Here is a 25,046-nt window from a genome sequence, read left to right as displayed (position 1 = left end):
ACAAATACCTAATGCATGTGGGGCTTAAAACCTAGATGATGGGTTGATAGGTTCAGCAGAGCACCATGGCACATGTATACCTATGTAACAAAACTGCACTTTCTGCACATGTATCCCAGAACTTAAAGTAAAACTTAAAAAAAATTAAATCTACAAAATTATTACAACCCCAATTCTTTCGTTAGATCTAGCTGAAAAATGTAGTATGTGGATATATTATTTTTTTCTGGTTTTAATTTTTATCTGATTACTTGCTTAGTGAATCTTTCATACTTCTTTCAGAAGGGGGATAATTATCTTCCCTCGACTATCTGGTTATCAGTCACACATGGATAGCTATCTAGGTATAATAGGCAAACATTCCGCTTTACGACCACCTCACCCTACATGGTACCTACTTATTGTAGAAATGATTACACACCCAGGAAATCAGGTCAGTCAAGTCTTTAGTTAACACCTACTGCATGCCTTAGTGACTGTCTTGGGGCCTTTCTTTGCAGAAACCATTATAGGTTTAAACAAACTTGGGATTGTTTTACAAATTGTTAAATATAACAATGGTAATTATTTCATTATGTTAATATTACATGTGTTTCTCACTGAAAATTTTGATGGCTAAGGTTTTGCAATTAATCTTGTATATAAAACAACATGAGGTAGAGAATAATTTAGTAATACTAGGGTATTTTAGGTGATTAGTCATTTTTATCGCTTTTGGAACAAAACTCACGAAAATGATTTTTAAAATGACTAATTTGTAGTTGATGAATTTGGGCTGAATTGCTTTGAGCAGAATCTTGCAAAGCTTTAAATAAATATCATCTAAACCCATTCATCTAGAAAGCCAAATCAATTGTATAAACTTGCCTGTACTCTGTACAGGTCAGAATACAGATTAATTCAACTGCTATAAAAATACTCAAAATAATATGTGACAGTCTGAGGATAATTTATCCATGGTCGGTGTGATGACTCCACGGTAACAGAGACCTAAAATCCTTTTATGTTGTTGCTCTAATGTCTAATTTAAGTACTGAACACTGTCATTATAGTGTAAATGTAGACATAGACAATATATAAATGAATGTGTTTGTGTTCCAATAAAACTTTATTTTTGAACATTTAAATTTAAATTTTATATAATTTGTACATGTCATGAAATATTTGTTTCTTAATTTTTTAACCACTTATATATGTAAAAATAATTATTTGTCCTCTGATCAAACAAAAACAGATAGTAGACAAGCTTTGGCCCTTGAGCTGTAGTTCACTGGCCCCAGCTCCAACTCTAGTAGCTCAGGTTATCATTTCCCCATCTTAGTCAGGTTGGATTACACTTTATGTTGTAAGCATACTTGTTCTAGATTTCTGAGGGGCTTACCTTTGTTTTCCAAGGACATTACAATCTTATCAGCTTCACGATAACATCATTGGACAAGATTTTCTTATCTGAAATACCTTGACAAGGTCTCTGGCAGTGGTCATGTATTTGATTTACTTTAGGCTGAGACAGTAGTTCCTTGTGGGTTTACTTCTTAATTTTCCAATATTTTTTGTCTCTTATTACTACTTTTAATCAATATTTATATAGTACTTATGTGGCAGTCGTTGTAAGTTTATTTAATATGTTACTGTCTCACAACAAACCTATGAAATTAGTACTGTTATCCTTATTTTACCTATGGGGAAACTGAGGCACAGAAGGCTTAAATAACTTGAGCTAATAACGCAGATAATAGCAGAGCTAGGATCCAAATCTAGGCTGCATGGATTCAGAGTCCACTCTGCCTTTCTAAACAACCTTGGTGTGTTGTTTTCTTAAATAAAAAATGTAGGAATGTTTCTCTCCAAACCCTGAAATATTTATGTCACCCACACAGGACACCTCCTTCTTGTACAGCTAAATTAGTATCACCAGTGTTCTTGGAGACCTAGGATTCCTGATTGAGGGATTCCTATGCTGCAATGTCTGTGTCCATATTTTATTTATTTATCAAATAGGTCTTCTCACTGCCAGACATTGTTTTAAATGCCTTATACACATTGACTTGTTTAATTTAATATTTACAACAAGCAATTAACAGATGAAAAAGGTCGCATAACTTTGTAAAGGGCAGAGCCAGATTGCAACCAAGTTAACGTCTTCGATCGCTATTCTTAATCTTTCTGCAGGGTCTGAGTCTCTTCATTTCTTACCAGCATGGGTTTCTCTGTTTCTTGCTTCAGGGACTTCACGACTGGTCACAAGAAATTCTTGACCTTGGTTGGTTCTGACATGGCTGCAACATGCTCTTTCTGACAGGAATGCATAGCCGAATATCAGGTTCTAAGCCCTGTGACAATCATAGGGCACATACAGCATAGATTTTGTTTAAAGAAATCTCTTTTGGTGTGTATATTCTTCTTGTTTAAGGTCTGAATTGATATTTGCACACTGCTATAACTTCTCTCATGAAGCATTACCTATTTTCAAAGCTACATAAGGTGCTGTTGTAATCATACGGTTTTGTTGTATACATAATCCCGCTTTAATTATTCATCATTATTTATTTTCCTTTTGTTAGTTTAATTATAAAAACAACACATACTCATTTTAAGAATCCTAATAATACAGATCTGTATGTTGTTGTTGGTGAAAAGTCTCCAGTTTTTTTCATCCCTTTTCTTTATAATTTCCAGCATAATGCCATAGAAATAGACGAAACTCTCAGCGGGCTTATTCTGCATTCACTGGCCATGGTGGTTTGAGGGTTAACTTTAAGAAGCACTCTCTCCATTTCAGCTGACTGCTACATCCGGGAGAAAAGCGCTATTGCCTGGGAAACTAAGTCACGTGAGAACCTGGGGACGCTAGGTTCCGGAACCTGACCTGAGCTGGGGCCTGTGCTTCCAGCGGGTGGTGGGGGGCCTGGTGTGCTGGCATCAAGTAAGCCGACTACCTCGGCAAAGGCTTAGGGACAAGAGACCAGCAGCCTGAACTGGCTGGGGCATCCGGAAGGCTTAGATCTTGTGGCCAAGAGTTCAGACCGTGGCGAAGTGGAGAGTGACATGCAGTTGGATGGCGGTGACTGCGTGGTAAGTTGTATTTGAACACCCGGCAGGAGACAAGAAGTGGGGATGAGCTAGGACTCATCCTCCCTTTATTGAATAATTTGCCTTTTTCCAGAGGGAAGGAAGCCAGACCAGCTAGCAGGACGCCAGGGGTAGGAGTGCGGGAATGAGAATAGGTGTCTGGAACAGGGCAGAGGGGGAGGGGGACCCTGAGGCGCAAATTCTTTTTCCTTACATGGCTTTTTCTTCTCGTTTTTCTCCTCTCTCACCCTCTATGTCCCCATTATTCTTGTTCTTTCTTTTCCTGGTTACGCATTTTCATTAATCCAGAGCCTTAATTCGAATGTAAACATTTTGGCTCCTGATCCAGTTCTCCGTTAACTTTCCTGGTATTTGTGATTTCGTGTTTGGTAGCGTAATAGGACGACTATAGTTAACAATAATTTATTATGTATTTCAAAATAACTAAAAAGCGGAATTGAGATGATTCTAACATAAAGAAATGATAAATGCTTGAGGTGATGGTTATACCATCTACTCTGATTTGATTATTACACATTGTATGTTCTAATCAAAATATCACATGTACCCCATAAATATGTACAACTATTATATATCCATAATAATTAAAACTTCAAAAATGTTAACAAAATGGCAAAAAAATCAGAAGAAGTTATTCAAGTATGGTGAGTAAACGTTTAAAAAGTGACTCAGCTTCACTAATAAATGCACATGAAAAAACGGAATAGCAGATTATGATTGACAAGGGGATAAAAAGATTGTTTATGCCCAGTGTTGTGCAGAGTTTGGGGACACTGGCACTCAATTACAGTATTAAGTGTGTAAATTAGTATAATCATTTATTGTTGGGCTATTTGGCATATGTAACAAACTTGAAAACCTCTTAGTCTTTGACCTAGAAATTCTACCCTTAGGAATTTTTTTTCAACACAGTTACTACTGAAAATACACACAGGTATGCACATACACATATAATGTGTTAATTGCAGCATTATTTGTAATAGCACACTTTGGAAATAATCTAAATGCCCATCAATAGTGAATTGGTAAAATAAATTGTGGTATAACAATATGATTGGATAGAATACAGCCCTTTTAAATGGCACTGATTTGGTGCCTGTGAAATAAGTTACAAAATAGGTTTTCTAGTAGTAGTCATAATATTATCAAATATTTCTTTACAATATATGTGAATACATACTTCTATATGAACAGAAAAAATGCTATAGGAAATTATGAACAAAACAACTAGCAATGAAAATCTCTGGGTAGTGGAATTGTAGCATTTGTTTTTCCTCCCCACTTCTGCTTTCCTTCTCAACGTCCTTCCCCAACTTTCTTTCTTTCTTTTTTTTCTTAAAGATCCATGTACATTTATTTCAACATTAATTTTTATACTCCAGATACCATTTACTTTCTTTTTTAAAGTATTACATATTAAGCAATACACAAGGTTGTAAAGAAAAATTCAACCGATACCATTGTAGCCTTAGCTCAGTTTAACAAGTAAAAATTTGATCAATACAGCTGAGATCTTCTGTGTAACCTTCCTTAATTCCATTACTCCAATCATGAGTTTGGGGTTTATTTTTTCTATGAATAATTTTTTAAATTTTTTACCACATGTACATTTATATCTCAGAAATATATATTTTACTTCCTTTAAAATCTAATATAAATGGTATACTGTATATATTCTTCTCAACTTGTTTTTAGTCAAAATATGGTTGGGAGCTTTATGTTGATAACTTTTATTAACAGTTAATTTATTTTCCCTACTGTACTGTTTCTAATGTGTAACTCTACCACAATTTATTTTTCCATTTTATGAATGACCACTTTGATTGTTTCAGTTTTCAGTACATGTATTTATGTTAATGGACATTGTAATGCATTTCCTTGCTCTATGAATTATTTGATGGATTACTTTGGAAAAATTATTTCACTTTTTTTTTTGAGACAAAGTCTCACTCTGTCGCCCAGGCTGAAGTGCAGTGGCACAATCTCTGCTCACTTCAACCTCTGCCTCCCGGGCTCAAGCAGTCCTCCCACCTCAGCCTCCTGAGTAGCTGGGACTACAGGCACCCACCACCATGCCCAACTAATTTTTGTTTGTTTTTGTAGAGACGGGGTTTCACCATGTTGCCAAGGCTGGTCTCAAAATTCTGAGCTCAAGTGATCCACCTGCCTGGGCCTCCCAAAGTGCTGTGATTACAGGTGTGAGCCACCATGCCAGGCCTAGCAATACTTCTATTTTATCAGTTGTAAAATGGGAATAATGGCTACCTAATTCTCAAGATATTGTGAGGCATGAATGAAGAAGCTGTGTAAAGGGTTTGAAATAAATTAACTTTCAACGATTGCACTCCTTTCCCATCTTCCTGTCATAAAAGAGATGACTTCGGCCTAAACAGAAAAGCATAACTAGCATACATTATTTTTAATTTTTTAATTTTATATATACATAATAGTTGTATGTGTTTATGAGGTAAATGTGATATTTTGATACAAGCATGCAATGAATAATGATCAAATCTGGGTAACTGGGATACCCATCACCTCAATCAACTATTATTTCTTTGTGTTGGGAGCATTCCAATCTATTCTTCTGCTTTTTTTGAAATGTACAATAAATAGTTGTTAACTATTAGTGGCCCTATTGTACTACTGAACGCTAGACTAGATCTTCCTTCTATCTAACTGTATTTTTGTTCCCATTAACCACCTGTCTTTATCTCCCCCTACCCAACTGCAATTCCTAGCCTCTGGTAACCACCATTCTATTCATTACCTCCATAAGGTGAATTTTTTAGTTTCCATATATGAGAACATGTGACATTTATCTCTGTTTGCCTGGCTTATTTCACTTAGCATAATGTCCTCCAGTTCCAGCTATGCTATGGTAAATGACAAGATTCTATTATTTTTTGTGGCTCAATAATTCATTGTGTGTGTATATATGCCATATTTTCTATATCCATTCATCCACTGATGAACACCTAGGTTGATTGCATATCTTTGGTATCATAAATAGTGCTGCAATAAACCTGGGAGTGCAACTATCTGTTCAATAACTAGCATAGAGATCTTTTAGAAAAGTAAGGGCCAGAAATAGCCTGTACCCAATGATGTTATTTATGGGCTTTATTGTTTTGTGCAGTGAGTTGTGGTATTAGAAGAAGCTTATCTGGTTTACTACCTATCTTGTTTAGTTTTCTGACCCCTTATTTTACCTTCCATGTTAGCATCAGAGAAGATATATTTCCAAAATGACAAGATACTACGGAACTAAGATAATGAAGGACCTGTTGTGTACAATCTTTTAGTGGGTGTTAGGTGATCTGATTCCCATTACTATCCCATAGCATCTTGGGTAAATTATTTCATCTCTGATCAATGATTGGTATCATTGTAGTTGTTAAGGTTCTTTTTTGTTGATGTCTTAGTTTGTTTGGGCTGCTATAATTAAGTACCACAAACTGAATGACTTATAAGGAACAGAAATTTATTTTTCACAGTTCTGGAAGTTGGGAAGTCCAAGATCAAGGTAGTGGCAGATTTGGTGTCAGGTAGAGGAAGTTCTAATTAGCTCTCAGAATCAAAGGAGTGAATACCCAAGCCGGAATAGGGCACTTCTCTGTCCAAGGATGTTAGCAACAATAATTTTCTATATTTGTTTTCTAAAGTGCTGCTATTAACATGATTTCTCTCTCTGTGTCTCCAAGTTTTAAATTTCCAGTGAAGAGATTCTGATTACCCAGCTTGAGTCACAGGTGGCTGTGAAGGCAGGTTAAATAACATAGACATAACCATTAGGTAATCCTTATGAGCCAGGAAGCCATCCTAATGTTGTCTAGCAGCATCTACTGTTCTACTCACAATTTTTTTTGAGATGAATATATGTCAATTTTATTACCAGATGAAATATAATAATAAATTATTTTTGAAATAGCTTATATGTGGTGGCACATATAGAAAATATTTTTCTTTACTTTTTTCCTCATCTTAAAAATACATCTTTAAGGTACATAATAAACTGTTTAAAAAATTTTTAGGTTGCCAGTCACAAGGTGCCTTTTAGTAAGGTACACAATACCTTCTATGAAATATTTTTGCCAGAAAAGTTCACTCAAATCTGATCAAGCCTCTAAATTTAATAATTTATGGGAAATGCAAAGCACAGAATTACATGACAAATGACATCATTGAATGCAGTCAGAAAAATCCAACCTGTGGGAAACTCTGCAATGCAGATATGGGTTTTTAGACAAATACATTTAAATAAAAAAAGACAGACAGGGATTGGAGTAGTCCAGAACACCTACAGATTAAAAGAGAATTAAGAAACGTATCAACTGCTTGCAATGTATAGAGCTTATCTGGATCCTGATTTAAGCAAGCATATTGTTAAAGACAGATAAGACATTGCTGGTGCCAATGCAAGCTAGTATAATGCTTTTGAAAGCATTGCTTCTAGGTCCTCTCAGTGAACAAAGCTAGGAAATATATGCATGTATACACCCACACAAATATCCACATCTACATTTATTTTTATATCTATCCTATCTATACCTAACAAATAATACAGCTTTATCTTTTGGCTTACCAATCCCATTTCTAGAAGTCTTCCCTGTAGATACACTTTCAACAATACAAAAGTGAATATGCACAGAGTTATTCAGTGAATATGCAACATTATTTATATTTACAAAATATTGAAAACAATATAAATACCCATATACACTGTGACACATTCATACAGTGTGGTGGCATGAAGCTGTAAAAAAGAAAATGGAAGATCATTATGAGCTAATATGGAGTGATTTCTGGAACATATCATTAAATTAAAAGTGTTAAAGGCAAAAGAATATCTGTAATATGTTATCCTTCATGTGATGAAGGAGGTGTAAAAATATGTACATATATCTGCTTAATTGTGCAAAAGAAATACAGGAAGCCAGAGACTTAATGAGAGGCTACAGGTAGTTAGTGTGTATGAGGTACAAAGAATGAGAGAATGAGAAGGGAGTGGTAGAAATGACGGGGAGCAACAGTTTTGTGAATATACTTTTTTGTGTAGCTGTAACAGAGCCATGAGAATGTTTCACATACCCTCCAAAAATAAACAAATAATTAAAATCAACCATGATTTTGCAAGAAACAAAAGTTCAATGCAATTCATTACAAGTGAACCTAGCTATATTACAAATGAGTAATAAAACCACACTGAAGTGAGTGGGGAAGAAAAAAAGTAAGCTAACCTAAGTAACTATGGAAAGTACTATTAAAAATGCATACTGTAAGTCTAAAGAAAGACAAAAATAAATGTACACAGCAGTTGTACTCTAGTGAAGAAAGTTGTTTTTTACAATGGTGTGTGTTAACAATTTTATAATTACTTAATGGGTATATTAGGACTGAACAAATGTTGTGAGTAATAACAGGTTTCATAAAAGGAGTTACAAACAAGGGAAAGGGAGAAGGCTAAAATGAGCTATGTGAATTAGAATCAGAGATATCAGTATAAATGTGTGTATATCTGTATATATAAATATAGATGTAAGAACATTATCAATATGTAAATATGTATATATCAATATATACACATGTGCACACATAAGGATAGATATAGAAATAAATGTAGATGTGGATATTTGTGTGGGTGTATACATACATATATTTCCTAGCTTTGTTCACTGAGAGGACCTAGAAACAATGACAAAACATTAGCTGTGATCATACTTAATGCCTGGATTGTGGTTTCTAAATTTTTTTTACAATAAAAATAATTAGGGCTTTTTGGAGTCATGGTTAATTTCAAGCCTGGGGCAGGAAACAAAACAAGAGTAGCCAGAAACATCTTATGTTGCCAAAATGTAAGGAAGGATAAATAAATGATGGGGGCATGTTGAAAAGACACGGACAAAGCTTGAAGGAGCTCCCAGTCAACAAATCTGTGATAATTTGAACAAAAAAGTAAATAGTAATAGTCTTGGATTATAATATAATACAATAGATACCCATAAATCTATAGTCATATAATAAATAAATAAATGAATAATAAAGTTAAGATTTGGGAAACAGCTCTTCTTGCAGATGAATTTCAATTAAAAATGTGCAAAAGTGATAGAAATAGCCACCATTAAGCACAAACCACTGTAACATTTATTACAGACAAGAATCGTCAATGGATGCTAAAATTAGTGGGTGGAAAGATGAGACATAGGGTATCTGTGTAGTCTCAGACTGTCTCCCCATAAGATACGTATTAATTGCAAGGAAAATATAGTAACTTTACAATGGAGAAAACTGGTGGAAACCACTTTAAACCAAATCATTAAAGTCATCATCACCAGTCACCAATAAAAGACATGTGAACCTTGTGCGCCTTGTGATACTATGCACCGAGAAGGAAATAACATCACATCCATGGTGTTCTTGCCAAAATGCACTCATGAGGCAACACCACTGTTTATTTATTTTTACAAAGACATTGTGAAAATAACTGCTTGGCATACCATACTATTTCAGAGTGTCAAGGTCATGAAAGATATAGAAAGACTGAGGGGCTGTCATTGACTGGAGGAGGCTAAGGAGGTATGACAACTAAAAGCAATATAGGATCCCAGATTGCAATTGAACCATAGAAAGGAAATCAGTGGGAAAACTGCTGAAATTCTAATAAGATCTGTAGATTAGTTGATAGTACTGTTTCAATGTTAATTTCCTGATTTAAGTAGTATTTTAAATTATGATCCTACAGATAATATTAGGAGAAGCAGAAAAGAGTATTCAAGAAAGTTCTGCACTATTTTTTACAAAATTTTTGCAATTTTCACCTAAGACAAATTATCTCAATATTGAAAGATTAAAAAATGAGATGATTGGGGATATCTGAACACTGGATATGTGATGATATTAAATAATTATTATTAATTTTTACCTGAGATAATAGGATCATGGTTTTTAAAAATCATTGTCTTTAGAGATTAATTCAGAAATATTTACATATGGTATAATATGAAGCATGGAATTTGCTTGGAAATAATAAGTGTTGGCTAATGGGTCCAGGAATAGATGAATTAATCATTGTTGAAGCTCAGTAATGGATATATGGGGGAGTTCATGATTATTATTCTCTCTAGTTTTGTATGAGTTCAAAACTTCCTACAATATGTTAAAAAACTAATTCAATGTAGAAAACTGGAAAATTGCAGAAGAATATAAGTAAATAAAAACCATCTATAAATCCTCTAGATATTTATAATCAGTGCTACATTTTGATGTGTGTGGTGTATGCATGGGGGATTGGTGCTCAACATTTGTTCTACCTTGTTACTATAACTTCATGCACTTCAGGAAAAGGAGTTAAAAGTACAAATTCACGTCAGATTGCCTGGGTGAGTGTCCCATTATTGTCATTTACTAAATGTCTGATGTTGAATAGAGTACTTAACTTCTCTGAATCTGTTTCCTCATTTATGAAATGAGAGCAATACTATATGCTGTCACAACCAGTAAATAGAGGTTGAGTATGCCTTATCTGAAATGCTTGGGACAAGAAGTGTTTGGGTTTTGGATTTTTTTTTTCGAATTTTGTAATATTTGCATTATACTTATCAATTCAGCATCCCTAATCCAAAAATCTCAAAAGATGTGAATCTTAGAATTGAGGAAATACGGCATTGCTAACCTCACAGGCTTTTTTGTGACAAGTAAATAAGTTTATAAATGCAAAGTGCCAGACATTTGGGTATTCAGCAAATATTAGTTACCATTATCATCCTCATTACCATCATCATAATCATAAATATGCTGCTTAAGAGTGGTCATGGAGGCATCTCTGCATATTTGTCCCTTTCAAGCAAGGAAACCAAATTATCTGGATCTCGTTGAGGATTTAATAGCCATTACTTCTGGGAGATAGATATTTTTATAATACTCTACATTGATAATGTATAAGAATGTTCGTTGCGGCATGGTTGGTAGAAGCAAAAATATTTGACATAGCCTAAGTTCCCATCAACAGGAAATGGTCAAATACATTGTGGAGATATTCCCACTGCAATACTATACAATGTTGCAAGAGAATGGCCGGGCGCGGTGGCTCAAGCCTGTAATCCCAGCACTTTGGGAGGCCAAGGCGGGCGGATCACGAGGTCAGGAGATCAAGACCATCCTGGCTAACACTGTGAAACCCCATCTCTACTCAAAATACAAAAATTAGCCGGGCGTAGTGGCGGGTGCCTGTTGTCCCGGCTACTCGGGAGGCTGAGGCAGGAGAATGGCGTGAACCCGGGAGGCGGAGCTTGCAGTGAGCTGAGATTGCACCACTGCACTCCAGCCTGGGCGACAGAGCCAGACTCCGTCTCAAAAAAAAAAAAAAAAAAAATGTTGCAAGAGAATGAGGGAGGAGTAGTAGTAGTGTAGTGACATGGAAAGATGTCTGTTATATCGACTAGTAAAGAAAGCAAATCATAGAACCAAATGTATAGTCTGATAGCACTCAAGAAGGAAAAAGCTTATTTATTTGTGTGTATTTGCAGGCAGATAGATAAATATGTTCCAAACGTTTAAAAGTGGATAGATAAATATGTTCCAAACGTTTAAAAGTGGTTGCCTCTGAGGGATAGGATTCAGATCAGACGGAGTTGAAATGAGGCTTTCACATTTTCCCCTTGTATATCTAGGTATGATTTGATTTTTATCCTATGTATTATTTTGTATTTAAAATACATTTTTTAAAAGTTGCGCAAGACATTTTTTAAGAGTATGTAAATGTACTCACTAAATTTCCTTCTAAGTAGGATTTGTTCTTTTAGCATCTTATTATAGGCATGTACCATGAAACTTAAGAATGAAAGAATAAAGTTTAAAACTGTATTTTTGTCCAGGCTACCTTTACAAATTGTGAAGTCCTTGTAGCCAGCACATTGTTGTCAGTCTTCATAACTGTTAGGCCTGTTCATAATGGTCCAAGCATACTATTAACATAGCAACATATTGCTATCATAATAACCTTTTAATTCCATTTGTCTCAAAGTAAGATTTTATAAAGGATGTCATAAAAATTAGGGTCTTTCACATTAAAGTGGAAAAACAAAATTCATTTCCAGTTATAGGGAATTAGGACAATTTATAAGTTACATATGTCCCACAGAATAGATTTTTAAAAGTCTTTTCAAATAATTCATTGTGAAATTTGAGTTCCCTGTACTCTGATTCCCTCAAAGTTGATGACTCCCATATACCTCACAAGCATTTACCTCAAAAGTGTAGTTTGTACCATCAGAGAATATATAAACACCTCTATGTGAATAAACTAGAAAATCCAGAAGAAATTGATAAATTCCTGTATACATACACCTTCCCAACACTAAACCAGGAAGAAGTCGAATCCCTTAATAGACCAATATCAAGTTCTGAAATTCAGGCAGTAATTAATAGCCTACAAACCAAAAAACAACCCATGACCAGATGGAATTACAGGTGAATCCTAGCAGAGGTACAAAGAGGAGCTGGTACCATTCCTTCAGAAACTATTCCAGGCAATATAAAAAGAGGGACTCCTCCCTAACTCATTTTATGAGGCCAGCATCATCCTGGGACCAAAACCTGGCAGAGACACAACAAAAACAGAAAATTTCAGGCCAATATCCCTGATGAACATCGATGCGAAAATTCTCAATAAAATACTGGCAAACTGAGTCCAGCAGCACATCAAAAAGCTTATCCACCATGATCAAGTGGGCTTCATCCCTGGGATGCAAGGCTGGTTCAACATATGCAAATCAATAAACTTAATCACATAAACAGAACCAATGACAATAACCACATGATTATCTCAACAGATGCAGAAAAGTCCTTCAATAAATATTAACATCCTTCATGCTAAAAACTCTCCATAAATTAGGTATTGATGCAACGTATCTCAAAATAATAAGAGCTATTTATGTCAAACCCACAGCCAATATCATACTGAATGGGCAAAAGCTGGAAGCATTCCCTTTGAAAACTAGTACAAGACAAGGATGCCCTCTCTCACCATATTCAACATGCCCTCTCTCACTTATTCAACATAGTATTGGAAGTTCTGGCCAGGGCAATCAGGCAAGAGAAAGAAATAAAGCATATTCAAGTAGGAAGAGAGGAAGTCAAATTGTCCCCGTTTGCAGATGACATGATTGTATATTTAGAAAACCCCATCGTCTCAGCCCCAAATCTCCTGAAGCTGATAAGCAGCTTCAGCAAATTCTCAGGATACAAAATAAATGTGCAAAAATCACAAGCATTCCTATACACCAATAATAGATAAACAGAGAGACAAATTATGAGTGAACTCCCATTCACAATTGTTACAAAGAGAATAAAATACCTAGGAATACAACTTAGAAGGGATGTGAAGGACCTCTTAAAGGAGAACTACAAACCACTGCTCAAGTAAATAAGAGAGGACACAAACAAATGGAAAAACATTCCATGCTCATGGATAGGAAAAATCAATATCATGAAAATGGCCACACTGCCCAAAGTAATTTATAGATTCAATGCCATCCCCATCAAGCTACCATTGACTCTCTTCACAGAATTAGAAAAACCTACTTTAAATTTCATAGGAAACCAAAAAAGGAGCCCATATAGCCAAGACAATCCCAAGCAAAAAGAACAAAGCTGGAGGCATCACACTACTTGACTTCAAACTATACTACAAGGCTACAGTAACCAAAACAGCATGGTGCTGGTACCAAAACAGATACATAGACAAATGGAAAAGAACAGAGGCCTCAGAAATAATGCCACTCATCTACAACTATCTGATCTTTGACAAACCTGACAAAAGCAATGGAGAAAGGATTCTCAATTTAATGAATGGTGTTGGGAAAACTGGCTAGCCATATGCAGAAAACTGAAACTGGACACCTTCCTTACACCTTATACAAAAATAAACTCAAGAAGGATTAAAGACCTAAACGTAAGACCTAAAACTGTGAAAACCCCAGAAGAAAACCTAGGCAATACCATTCAGGACATAGCATGGGCAAATACTTCATGACTAAAACACCAAAAGCAATGGCATCAAAACCCAGAATTGACAAATGGGATCTAATTAAACTAAAAAGCTTCTGCACAGGAAAAGAAACTATCATCAGAGTGAACAGGCAACCGACAGACTGGGAGAAAAGTTTTGCAATCTATCCATCTGACCAAGGGGTAATATACAGAATCTACAAGGAACTTAAACAAATTTACAAGAAAAAAACAACCCCATCAAAAAGTGGGCAAGGGATATGAACAGACACTTCTCAAAAGAAGACATTTATGCAGCCAATAAACATATGAAAAAAGGCTCATCATCCCTGGTCATCAGAGAAATGCAAATCAAAACCACAGTGAGATAGTATCTCATGCCAGTTAGAATGGCGATCATTAAAAAGTCAGGAAAAAACAGATGCTGGAGAGCATGTGGAGAAATAGGAACACTTTTACACTGTTGATGGGAGTGTAAATTAGTTCAACCATTGTGGAAGACAGTGTGGCGATTCCTCAAGGATCTAGAACCAGAAATACCGTTTGACCCAGCAACCGCTTATTGGTTATATAACCAAAGGATTATAAATCATTCTCCTATAAAGACACATGCACACGTATGTTTATTGCAGTACTATTCACAATAGCAAAGACTTGGAATCAACCCAAATGCCCATCAATGATAGACTGGATAAAGAAAGTATGGCACATATACACCATGGGATACTATACAGCCATAAAAAAGGATGAGTTCATGTCCTTTGCAGGGACATTGATGAAGCTGGAAACCATCATTCTCAGCAAGCTAATACAGGAACAGAAGACCAAACATTGCATGTTCTCACTCATAAGTGGGAGTTTAACAATGAGAACACATGGACACAGGGAGGGGAACATCACACACAGGGGCCTCTCGAGGGGTTGGGGGCTAGAGAAGGTATAGCATTAAGAGAAATACCTAATGTAGATGACGAGTTTCTGGGTGCAGCAAACCACCATGGCACATGCATACCTATGTAACAAACCTACACGTTCTGCACATGTATCCCAGAACTTAAAGTATAATTTTTAAAAAAGTGTAGTTTGGTAAAAAGTCTTTTCCTAGTGATCTGAACCTGAAATGTGACTTTACAATCCCCCTCATGCCCCACACATCTAGCAAAGAATTTTTATGTATTTTAAATCTAAACTTGAAGAGTCTGGAATTTCTTTCAGTTCTCAATATGAATGTAATACATAATTTCTAAATATATTCTAAAATAGGTGTTACCATGATTAGTATTATGTTATTATTAGTTTTTGTTATTTTGTGCTTTGAGAACAAACAGCCCTAAAAGCTCAGTGACTTACAACAACAAAGATTTGCTTCTTATACATGTTACTTGTTAGCTCTGGAGGTGTTCCCTGCATCATTTTTGTTCCAGGATCTAGTTTGGAGGAGCCCCCAAATCTGAGACAAGCTATTTGTAGAATGAAAAGAATGATGGACTCATGCAATGCCTCTTAAAACATAAACATGACATATGTCAATATCAAGCTTGACATCCACAGAGCAAGAAACTATAATCCTTTCATGGGGAGAGGTAACAAATAATTGGGAACATTAACACAATATACTGCAATGATTTTGCCACACTATAATAATTTTGAAACATACCAAATCTTGTATGTATGCCTTAATATATATGAATCTATATTAATAATAAAAATTATTCCAGATAATTTTACAATGTAGTATTTCAAAAGGAACTGTATGTTAGAAAAACACGAATCAAATAAATTTTGACTATAAATTTCATAGACTGGCTTAGCATGATATCGTAATTATTATTGAGTTATTAGTAATAATCATTATTCAGATCAGTTAAATGGATATGATAATGCAGCCATTTTTCAAAATATATTTCAGATGTTTTTATCTCCTATTTATCTCTGACCTGCAACTATTCCTGTGTATTAATATCTATTTAATGGGGTTTGAGGAAAAGAATAATTACTCAAGAAACACAATGTTAAGAGCAGGGACCTTGTTTTTTAAATGTGTTTTGTTTTGAAGTATTTCAAATTTACAGAAAAGACAAAAGGACTAATACAAAGAATATTCTCAACAGGTTATCCCACTCACCAATGAATATGCTTATCATGGGATACTACTCACCAGATTCACATTGTTAATCTGGTTAATCTTGGCTAATCCACCCAAAGATTTTCTGAACATATATATGGCCTTCCCTTTTGGGAAAATGTAGAATTTTCTTCATCTGAAAATTCCTCATCATGCATTTATCAGAAAGAAGAACATATTTTTAAATTTTACTTTAGGTTTGAGAGCACATGTGCAGGTTTGCTATATAGGTAAATTGCATGTCACAGGGGTTTGGTGTACAAATTATTTTGTCACCCAGGTAATAAACATAGTACCCAATAGGTAGTTTTTCAATCCTTACCCTCCTCTCACCCTCCACCCACAAGTAGGCCCCAGTGTCTATTGTTCCCTTCTTTGTGTCCATATCTACTCAGTGATTAGCTCCCACTTATAAGTGAGAGCATGTGATATTTGGTTTCTTTATCCTGTGTTACCTTGCTTAGGAAAACAGCCTTCAGATGCATCCACGTTCCTGCAAAGGATATTATCTCATTCTTTTTTTATGGCTGCATAGTATTCTGTGGTGTACATATACCACATTTTCTTTATCCAGTCTACTACTAATGGGCATTTAGGTTGATTCCATGTCTTTGCCATTGTGAATAGTGCTGCAGTGGACATGTGCAGGCATGTGTCTTTCTGGTAGAGTGAATTATACTTTTGGGGGAAATATACCCAATGATGGTGATTGCTGGGTCAAATGTTAATTCTGTTTTAAGTTCTTTAAGAAATTGCCTAACTGCTTTCCACACTGGCTGAACTAGTTTACATTCTCGGCAGCAGTGGATAAGTGTTCTTTTCTCCACAACCTTACCAGCATCTTCTATTTTTTGACATTTAATGATAGCCATTCTGACTGGTATGAGATGGTATCTCTTTGTGGTTTTGATTTACATTTTCCTAATGATTAGTGATATTGAGCATTTTTTCCATAGCTTGTTAGCCACATGAATGTCTTCTTTTGTAAAGTGTCTGTTCATGTACTTTGCCCACTTTCTTAATAAAGTTGTTTGGTTTTTTTTTTGTAAATTTGTTTAAGTTTCTTATAGATGCTGTATGTTGTTATAGATGCTAGATATAGATGCTGGATAGTATACTTTGCAAATATTTTCTCCTATTCTGTAGGTTGTTTACTGTGTTAATAGTTTATTTTGCTGTGCAGAAACTCTTTAACTTAATTAGATATCTTACAATTTTTTTTTGTTATTGTTGTAGTTGCTTTTGGCGCCTTTGTCATGAAGGCTTTGCTAGGTCCTATGTCAAGAATGTCCAGAATGGTACTTCCTAAGTTATCTTTCAGAGTTTTTCTAGTATTCGGTTATACATTTAGGTTTTTAATTCAACTTGAGTTAAGGGGTCCAGTTTCAATCTTCTGCATATGGCTACACAGTTTTCCCAGCAACATTTATTGAATAGAGAGTCCTTTCCACATTTCTTATGCTTGTGTATTTTCCTTAAAGATCAGATAATTGTAGGTGCGTGGCAATATTTTTGGGCTCTCTGTTCTGTTCCATTGATCTATGTGTCTTTTTTTGTACCAGTGCCATGCTGTTTTCATTACTGTAGCCTTGTAGTATAGTTTGAAGTCAGGTAATGTGATGCCGCCAGCCTTGTTCTTTTTGCTTGGGATTGCCTTGGCTATTCAAGCTCTTTGTTGTTGTTGTTGTTCCATATGTATTTTAAAATACTTTGATTTAATTCTGTGAACAATGTCATTGGTACTTTGACAGTGATAACATTGACTCTGTAAATTGGTTAGGACACTATGGCCATTTTGACAATATTGATTATTCCTTTCCATGAGCATGAAATGTTTTTCCATTTTTTTTGACACCTCTTATTTCTTTGAGTAGTGTTTTGTAATTCTCATTGTAGAAGTCTTTTGCCACCTTGGTTAGTGGAATTTCTAGATTTTTTTTTTTGTGTGTGTGGCTATTGTGAATGGGATTACATTCTTGATTTGGCTGTCTGCTTAGATGTTGTCAATGTACAGGAATTCCACTGATCTTTGCACATTGTTTTTATACTGTGAAATTTGCTAACCTTCTGTATCAGATCAAGGAGCTTTGGGACACACAATATAAAGATTTCTAGGAATAGAATCATAATGTTTGCTAACAGGGTTAGTTTGACTCCCTCTATTCCTATTTGGATGCCCTCTATTTCTTTCTCTTGACTGATTGCTCTGCCTAGGACTTCCAGTACTGTGTTAAATATGAGTGGTGAGAGAGGGCATCCTTGCCTTTTTCTAGTTCTCAAAGGGAATATTTTCAGCTTTTGCCCATTCATTATGACTTTGGCTGTGAGTTTTTCATAGATGGCTCTTATTATTTTGAAACATTTTTCTTCAATGCCTTTATTTTTTTGTTTTTTATTGAGGGTTTTTAACACAAAGAGATGTTGGATTTTATTGAAAACTTTTTCTGCATCTATTGAGATAATCATGTTGGTTTTGTTTTTAGTTCTGTTTATGCAGTGAACCACATTTATTGATTTACATATGTTCATCCAATCATGCATTCCAGGGATAAAGCCTACTTAATTGTGGTGGATTAACGTTTTATTTTTATTTTTAATTCCGGAGTACATGTACAGGATGTGCAGGTTTGGTACATAGGTAAAACATGTGCCATGGTGGTTTGCTGCGCGTATCAGTCCATCACCTAGGTATTAAGTCCAGCATGCACTGGCTATTTTTCCGAATGCTCTTCCTCCCCCACCCCACCCTCTGGCAGGCCTCAGTGTGTGTTGTTCCCCTCCCTTTGTCCATGTGTTCTCATTATTCAGCTCCCACTTATAAGTAAGAACGTGTGGTATTTGGTATTCTGTTCCAGCATCAGTATGCAGAGGATAATGGCTTCCAGCTCCATCCATGTTCCTGCAAAGGACATGTTCTCGTTCCTTTTTATGGCTGCATAACATAGCATTCCATGATGTGTATGTACCACATTTTCTTTATCCAGTCTATGATTGATGGGCATTTGAGTTGATTCCATGTCTTTGATATTGTGAATAGTGCTGCAATGACCATACATGTGCATATATCTTTGCAATAGAATGATTTATATTCCTTTAGGTATGTACCCAGTAATGGGATTGCTGGGTCAAATGGTATTTCCAGTTCTAGATCTTTGAGGAATTGCCACACCATCTTCCACAATGATTGAATTAATTTACATCCCCACCAACAATGAAAAGCATTCCTATTTCTCTGCAACCTCACCAGCAATTGTTGTTTCTTGGCTTTTTAATAAACACCATTCTCACTGAGGTGAGATGGTACTTCATTGTGGTTTTGATTTGCATTTCTCTAATGATCTCTGATGTTGAGATTTTTTTAAATATGTATTTGTTGGTCACATGAATGTCTTGTTTTGAGAAGTGTCTGTTCATATCCTTTGCCCAGTTTTTAATGGGGTTTGTTTTTTTCTTGTAAATTTGTTTAAGCTCCTTGTAGATTCTGGATATTAGACTTTTGTCGGATGGATAGATTGCAAAAATTTACTTCCACTCTGTAGGTTGCCTTTTCACCCTGATGATACTTTCTTTTGCTGTGCAGCAGCTCTTTAGTCTAATTGGATCCCATTTGTCAATTTTGGCTTTTGTGGCAATTGCTTTTGGCATTTTCATCATGAAATCTTTGCCCTTGCCTGTGTTCTGAATGGTATTGCCTGGATTTTCTTCTGGAGTTTTTATACGTTGGAGTTTTACATTTAAGTCTTTAACCCATCTTGAGTTAATTTTTGTATGATGTGTAAGGAAGGGATCCAGTTTCTCTATTCTGCCTATGGCTAGCCAGTTCTCCCAGCACCATTTTTTAAATAGGGAATTCTTTCCCAATTGCTTGTTTTTGTCAGATTGGCCAAGATCAGGTGGTTGTAGATGCGCAGTCTTATTTCTGAGTTCTCCATTCTGTTCCATTGGTCTATGTACATTGGTCTATTGTACTAGTACCACACTGTTTTGGTTACTGTGTAGCCTTGTAGTATAGTTTTAAGTCAGGTAGCAAGATGCCTCCAGCTTTGTTCTTTTTGCTAATGATTGTCTTGCTACATGGGCTCTTTTTTGGTTCCATATGAATTTTAAAGTAATTTCTTCTAATTCTGGGAAGAATGACAATGATAGTTTAATGGGAATAACATTGCATCTATAAATTACTTTGGCAGTATGGCCATTTTCACAATGTTGATTGTTCCTATCCATGAGCATGGAATGATTTTTCATTTGTTAGTGTTCTCTCTGACTTTCTTGAGCAGTGGTTTGTAGTTCTCCTTGAAGAGTTCCTTCACTTCCCTTGACAGTGGTACTCCTAGGTATTTTATTCTCTTTGTAGAAATTATGAATGGGGGTTCATTCATGATTTGGCTCTCTGCTTGTCTGTTGTTGGTGTATGGGAATGCTTATTAGTTTTGCACATTGATTTTGTATCCTGAGACTTTTCTGAAGTTTCTTATCAGCTTAAGAAGCTTTTGGGTGAATATGATGGGGATTTCTAGATATAGAATCATGTCATCTGCAAAGATAATTTGACTTTCTGTCTTCCCATTTGCATTCCCTTTATTTCTTTCTCTTGCCTGATTGCCCTAGCCAGAACTTCCGACACTATGTTGAAAAATGGTGGTGACAGAGGGCATCCTTGTCTTGTGCCTGTTTTCAAGAGAAATGCTTCCAGGTTTTGCCCATTCAGTATGATATTGGCTGTGGGTTTGTCATAAATGGCTCTTATTATTTTGAGGTATGTTGCATAAATATCTAGTTTATTGAGTGTTTTTAACATGAAGCGATGTTGAATTTCATCAAAGGGCTTTTTTGTGTCTATTGAGATAATCATGTGGTTTTTGTCTTTAGTTCTGGTTATGTGATGAATAACTTTTATTGATTTGTGTTTGCTGATCCATCCTTGTATCCTGGGGATGAAGCCAACTTGATCATGGTGAATAAGCTTTTTGATGTGCTGCTGGATTCGGTTTGTCAGTATTTTATTGAGAATTTTTGCATCAATGTTCAGCAGGGATATTGGCCTGAAGTTTTCTGTTGTGTCCCTGCCAGGTTTTAGTATCAGGATGATGCTGGCCTCGTAAAATGAGTTAGGGAGGAGTCCCTCCTTTTTAATTGTTTGGAATCGTTTCAGAAGAAATGGTACCAGCTTCTCTTTGTAACTCTGATATAATTCAGATGTAAATCCATCTGTTCCTGATCTTTTTTTGGTTAGCAGGCTATTTATTACTGCCTCAATTTCAGAACTTGTTATTGATCTATTCAAGGATTCAGCTTCTTCCTGGTTCAGTCTTGGGAGGGTGTATGTGTCCAGGAATTTGTCCATTTTTTCTCGATTTTCTAGTTTATTTGCATTTTTTTTTTCAAAAGACAGCTCCTGGATTTGTTGATTTTTTTGAAGCGTTTTTCATGTCCCTATCTCCTTCAGTTACACTCTGATCTTGCTTATTTCTTGTCTTCTGCTAGCTTTGGGGTTTGTTTGCTCTTGGTTTTCTAGTTCCTTTAGTTGTGATGTTAGACTGTCAATCGGAGATCTTTCTAGTTTTTTGATGTGGGCATTTAGTGCTATAGATTTCCCTTTTAACGCTGCTCTTTTTGCTTAGGATAGTCCTGCTTATACAAGCTATTTTTTGGTTCCATATGAATTTTACATAGATTTTTCTAATTCTTTGAAGGATGTCAGTGGTAATTTAATGAGAATAGCATTGCATGTATAAATCGCTTTGGACAGTATGGCCATTTTCACAATATTTTATTATTATTATTATTATTATTATTATTATTATTATACTTTAAGTTTTAGGGTACATGTGCACATTGTGCAGGTTAGTTACATATGTATACATGTGCCATGCTGGTGCGCTGCACCCACTAACTCGTCATCTAGCATTAGGTATATCTCCCAATGCTATCCCTCCCCCCTACCCCCACCCCACAACAGTCCCCAGAGTGTGATATTCCCCTTCCTGTGTCCATGTGATCTCATTGTTCAATTCCCACCTATGAGTGAGAATATGCGGTGTTTGGTTTTTTGTTCTTGCGATAGTTTACTGAGAATGATGATTTCCAATTTCATCCATGTCCCTTTTTATCCATGAGTATGGAATATTTTCCATCTGCTTGTTTTGTCTCTGATTTCCTTGAGCAGTGGCTTGTAGTTCTCCTTGAAGAGGTCCTTCACTTCCCTTGCTAGCTGTATTTTTAGGTGTTTTATTCTCTTTGTGGCAATTGTGAATGGAAGTTCATTCATGATTTGGCTCTCTGCTTGTCTGTAATTGGTGTATAGAAATGCTTGTGATTTCTGCACATTGGTTTTTGTATCCTGAGACTTTGCTGAAGTTGCTTATCAGCTTAAGAAGCTTTGGGCTGAGTTGATGGGGTTTACTAGATATAGGATCATGTCATCTGCAAAAAAAAAAAAAAAAAAAAAAAAAAAAAGACATTTTGACTTCCTCTCTTCCTATTTGAGTATCCTTTATTTCTTTCTCTTGCCTTATTGCCCTGGCCAGAACATCCGACACTGTTCTGAATAAGAGTGGTTACAGAGGGTATCCTTTTTTTGTGCCCGTTTTCAAGGGGAATGCTTCCAGCTTTTGCCCATTCAGTATGATATTGACTGTGGGTTTGTCGTAAATGACTCTTATTATTTTGAGGTATGTTGCATAAATACCTAGTTTATTGAGAGTTTTTAACATGAAGGGATGTTGAACTTTATCAAGGATGTTTTCTGCATCTATTGAGATAATCCTGTGTTTTTGTTTTCTTTAGTTCTGTTTATGCGATTAATCACCTTTATTGATTTGCGTATGTTGAACCAGCCTTGCATCCTGGGGATGAAGCCAACTTGATCATGGTTGATAAGCTTTTTGACGTGCTGCTTGTCTCAGTTTACCAGTATTTTATTGAGGATTTTTGCATCAGTGTTAATCAGGGATATTGGCCTGAAGTTTTCCTTTTTTTGTTCTATCTCTGCCAGATTTTGGTATCAGGATGATGTTGGCCGCATAAAATGAGTTAGGGAGGAGTCCCTCCTTTTCAATTGTTTGGAATAGTTTCAGAAGAAATGGTACTAGCTCCTCTTTGTGCCTCTGGTACAATTCAGCTGTAAATCCATCTGGACCTGGGCTTTCTTTGTTGGTAGGCTATTTATTATTGCCTCAATTTCAGAACTTGTTATTGGTTCATTCAGGGATTCAGCTTCTTTCTGGTTCAGTCTTGGGAGGATGCCTGTGTCCAGGAATTTATCCATTTCTTCTAGATTTTCCAGTTTATTTCCATAGAAGTGTTTATAGTATTTTCTGATCATTGTTTGTATTCTGTGGGGTCAGTGGTGGTATCTCCCTTATCTTTTTTACTGTGTTTATTTTAATCTTCTCTCTTTTTGTCTTCATTAATCTCACTAGTGTTCTATTTATTGATTTTTTTTCAAAGAACCAGCTCTTGGATTTGTTCATTTTTTTGAAGGGCTTTTTTGTGTCTCTATCGCCTTCAGTTCCTCTCTGAACTTGCTTATTTCTTGTCTTCTGCTACCTCTGGAGTTTATTTGCTCTTGGTTCTCTAGTTCTTTTAGCTGTGATGTTAGCTTGCCAATTGGAGATGTTTCTGGCTTTTTGATGTGGGCATTGAGTGCTATAAATTTCCCTCTTAAGACTGCTTTAGCTGCATCCCAGAGATTCTGGTACATTGTCTCTTTGTTCTCATTGGTTTCAAAAAATGTCTTTATTTCTGCTTTAATTTCATTATTTACTCTGATGCCATTCTGGAGCAAGTTGTTCGATTTCCATGCAGTTGTGTGGTTTTGAGTGGGATTCTTAATCTTGAGTTCTAATTTGATTGCACTGTGGTCTGAGAGACTGTTATTATTTCAGTTCTTTTGCATTTTCTGAGGAGTGTTTTACTTCCAATTATGTGATTAGGTTTAGAGTAAGTGCTGTGTGGCACCAAAAAAAAATATGTATCTTCTGTTGTTTTGGGGTGGGGAGTTCTGTAGAGATATATCAGATGCACTTGGTCTAGAGCTCAGTTTAAGTCCTGAATATCTTTGTTAATTTTCTGTCTTGATGATCTAATACTGACAGTGGGGTATTAAAGTCTCCCACTTTTATTGTGTGTGGATCTAAGTCTCTTTGTAGGTCTTTAAGAACTAGTTTTATGAACCTGGGTGCTCCTGTATTGGGTGCATATATATTTGGGATAGTTTTTCTTAACCCTTTACCATTACGTAATGCCCTTCTTTGACTTTTTTGATCTTTGTTCATTTAACGTCTATTTTTGTCATAAATTAGGATTGTAACCCCTACTTTTTTCTGTTTTCCAATTGCTTGGTAAATTTTCCTCCATCACTTTATTTTTGAGTCTATGTGTGTCTTTGCACATGAGATGTGTCTCTTGAGTACAGTACACCAACGGTTCTTGTTTTCGTATCCAGCTCGCCATTCTGTGTCTTTTAGCTGGGACATTTAGCCCATTTTCACTTAAGGGTAATGTTGTTATGTGTGAATTTAATCCTGTCATGATGCTGCTGGCTGGCTAATTTTGCAGACTAGTTAATGTAGTTTCTTCATAGTGTTCTTGGTCTGTTTACTTCAGTTTGTTTTTATAGTGGATGGTAACAGTTTTTCCTATCCATTTTTAGTGCTTTCTTCTGCAGCTCTTGCAAGGTGGGCCTGGCAGTGACAAAATCCCTCAACATTTGCTTGTATGAAAAATATTTTATTTCTCCTTTGCTTATGAAGCTTAGTTTGGTTGGATATGAAATTCTTGGTTAGAATTTCTTTTTTTAAGAATGTTGACTATTGGCCTT

The 25,046-nt window shown here is 35.7% G+C and overlaps 1 long non-coding RNA gene across 6 annotated transcripts in view, besides 1 other annotated feature; it reads left to right on the top strand.

The window, feature by feature from the left end:
* Positions 1-2,811: 2,811 nt before the first annotated feature.
* LINC01278 (long intergenic non-protein coding RNA 1278) overlaps positions 2,812-25,046 on the top strand; it is a 134,538-nt gene continuing 112,303 nt past the window's right edge. For all 6 annotated transcript variants that reach the window (NR_152611.1, NR_152612.1, NR_152613.1 and 3 more), the window contains exon 1: positions 2,812-3,075. This is a non-coding gene — a long non-coding RNA (long intergenic non-protein coding RNA 1278). The remainder of the gene's footprint in view (positions 3,076-25,046) is intronic.
* Positions 3,091-3,632: an enhancer, noted in NCBI's record as "H3K27ac hESC enhancer chrX:62780155-62780696 (GRCh37/hg19 assembly coordinates)". NCBI's record gives its function as "activates a minimal SCP1, AML or CMV promoter by ChIP-STARR-seq in naive H9 embryonic stem cells {active_cell/tissue: H9 hESC(naive)}" and the evidence as "EXISTENCE:reporter gene assay evidence [ECO:0000049][PMID:30033119]".

Source organism: Homo sapiens, chromosome X (genome assembly GCF_000001405.40).
Source record: "Homo sapiens chromosome X, GRCh38.p14 Primary Assembly".
Lineage (NCBI taxonomy): Eukaryota > Metazoa > Chordata > Mammalia > Primates > Hominidae > Homo > Homo sapiens.
The sequence above is the reverse complement of the archived record's forward strand: the minus strand, read 5'-3'. Positions and strand labels throughout refer to the sequence as shown.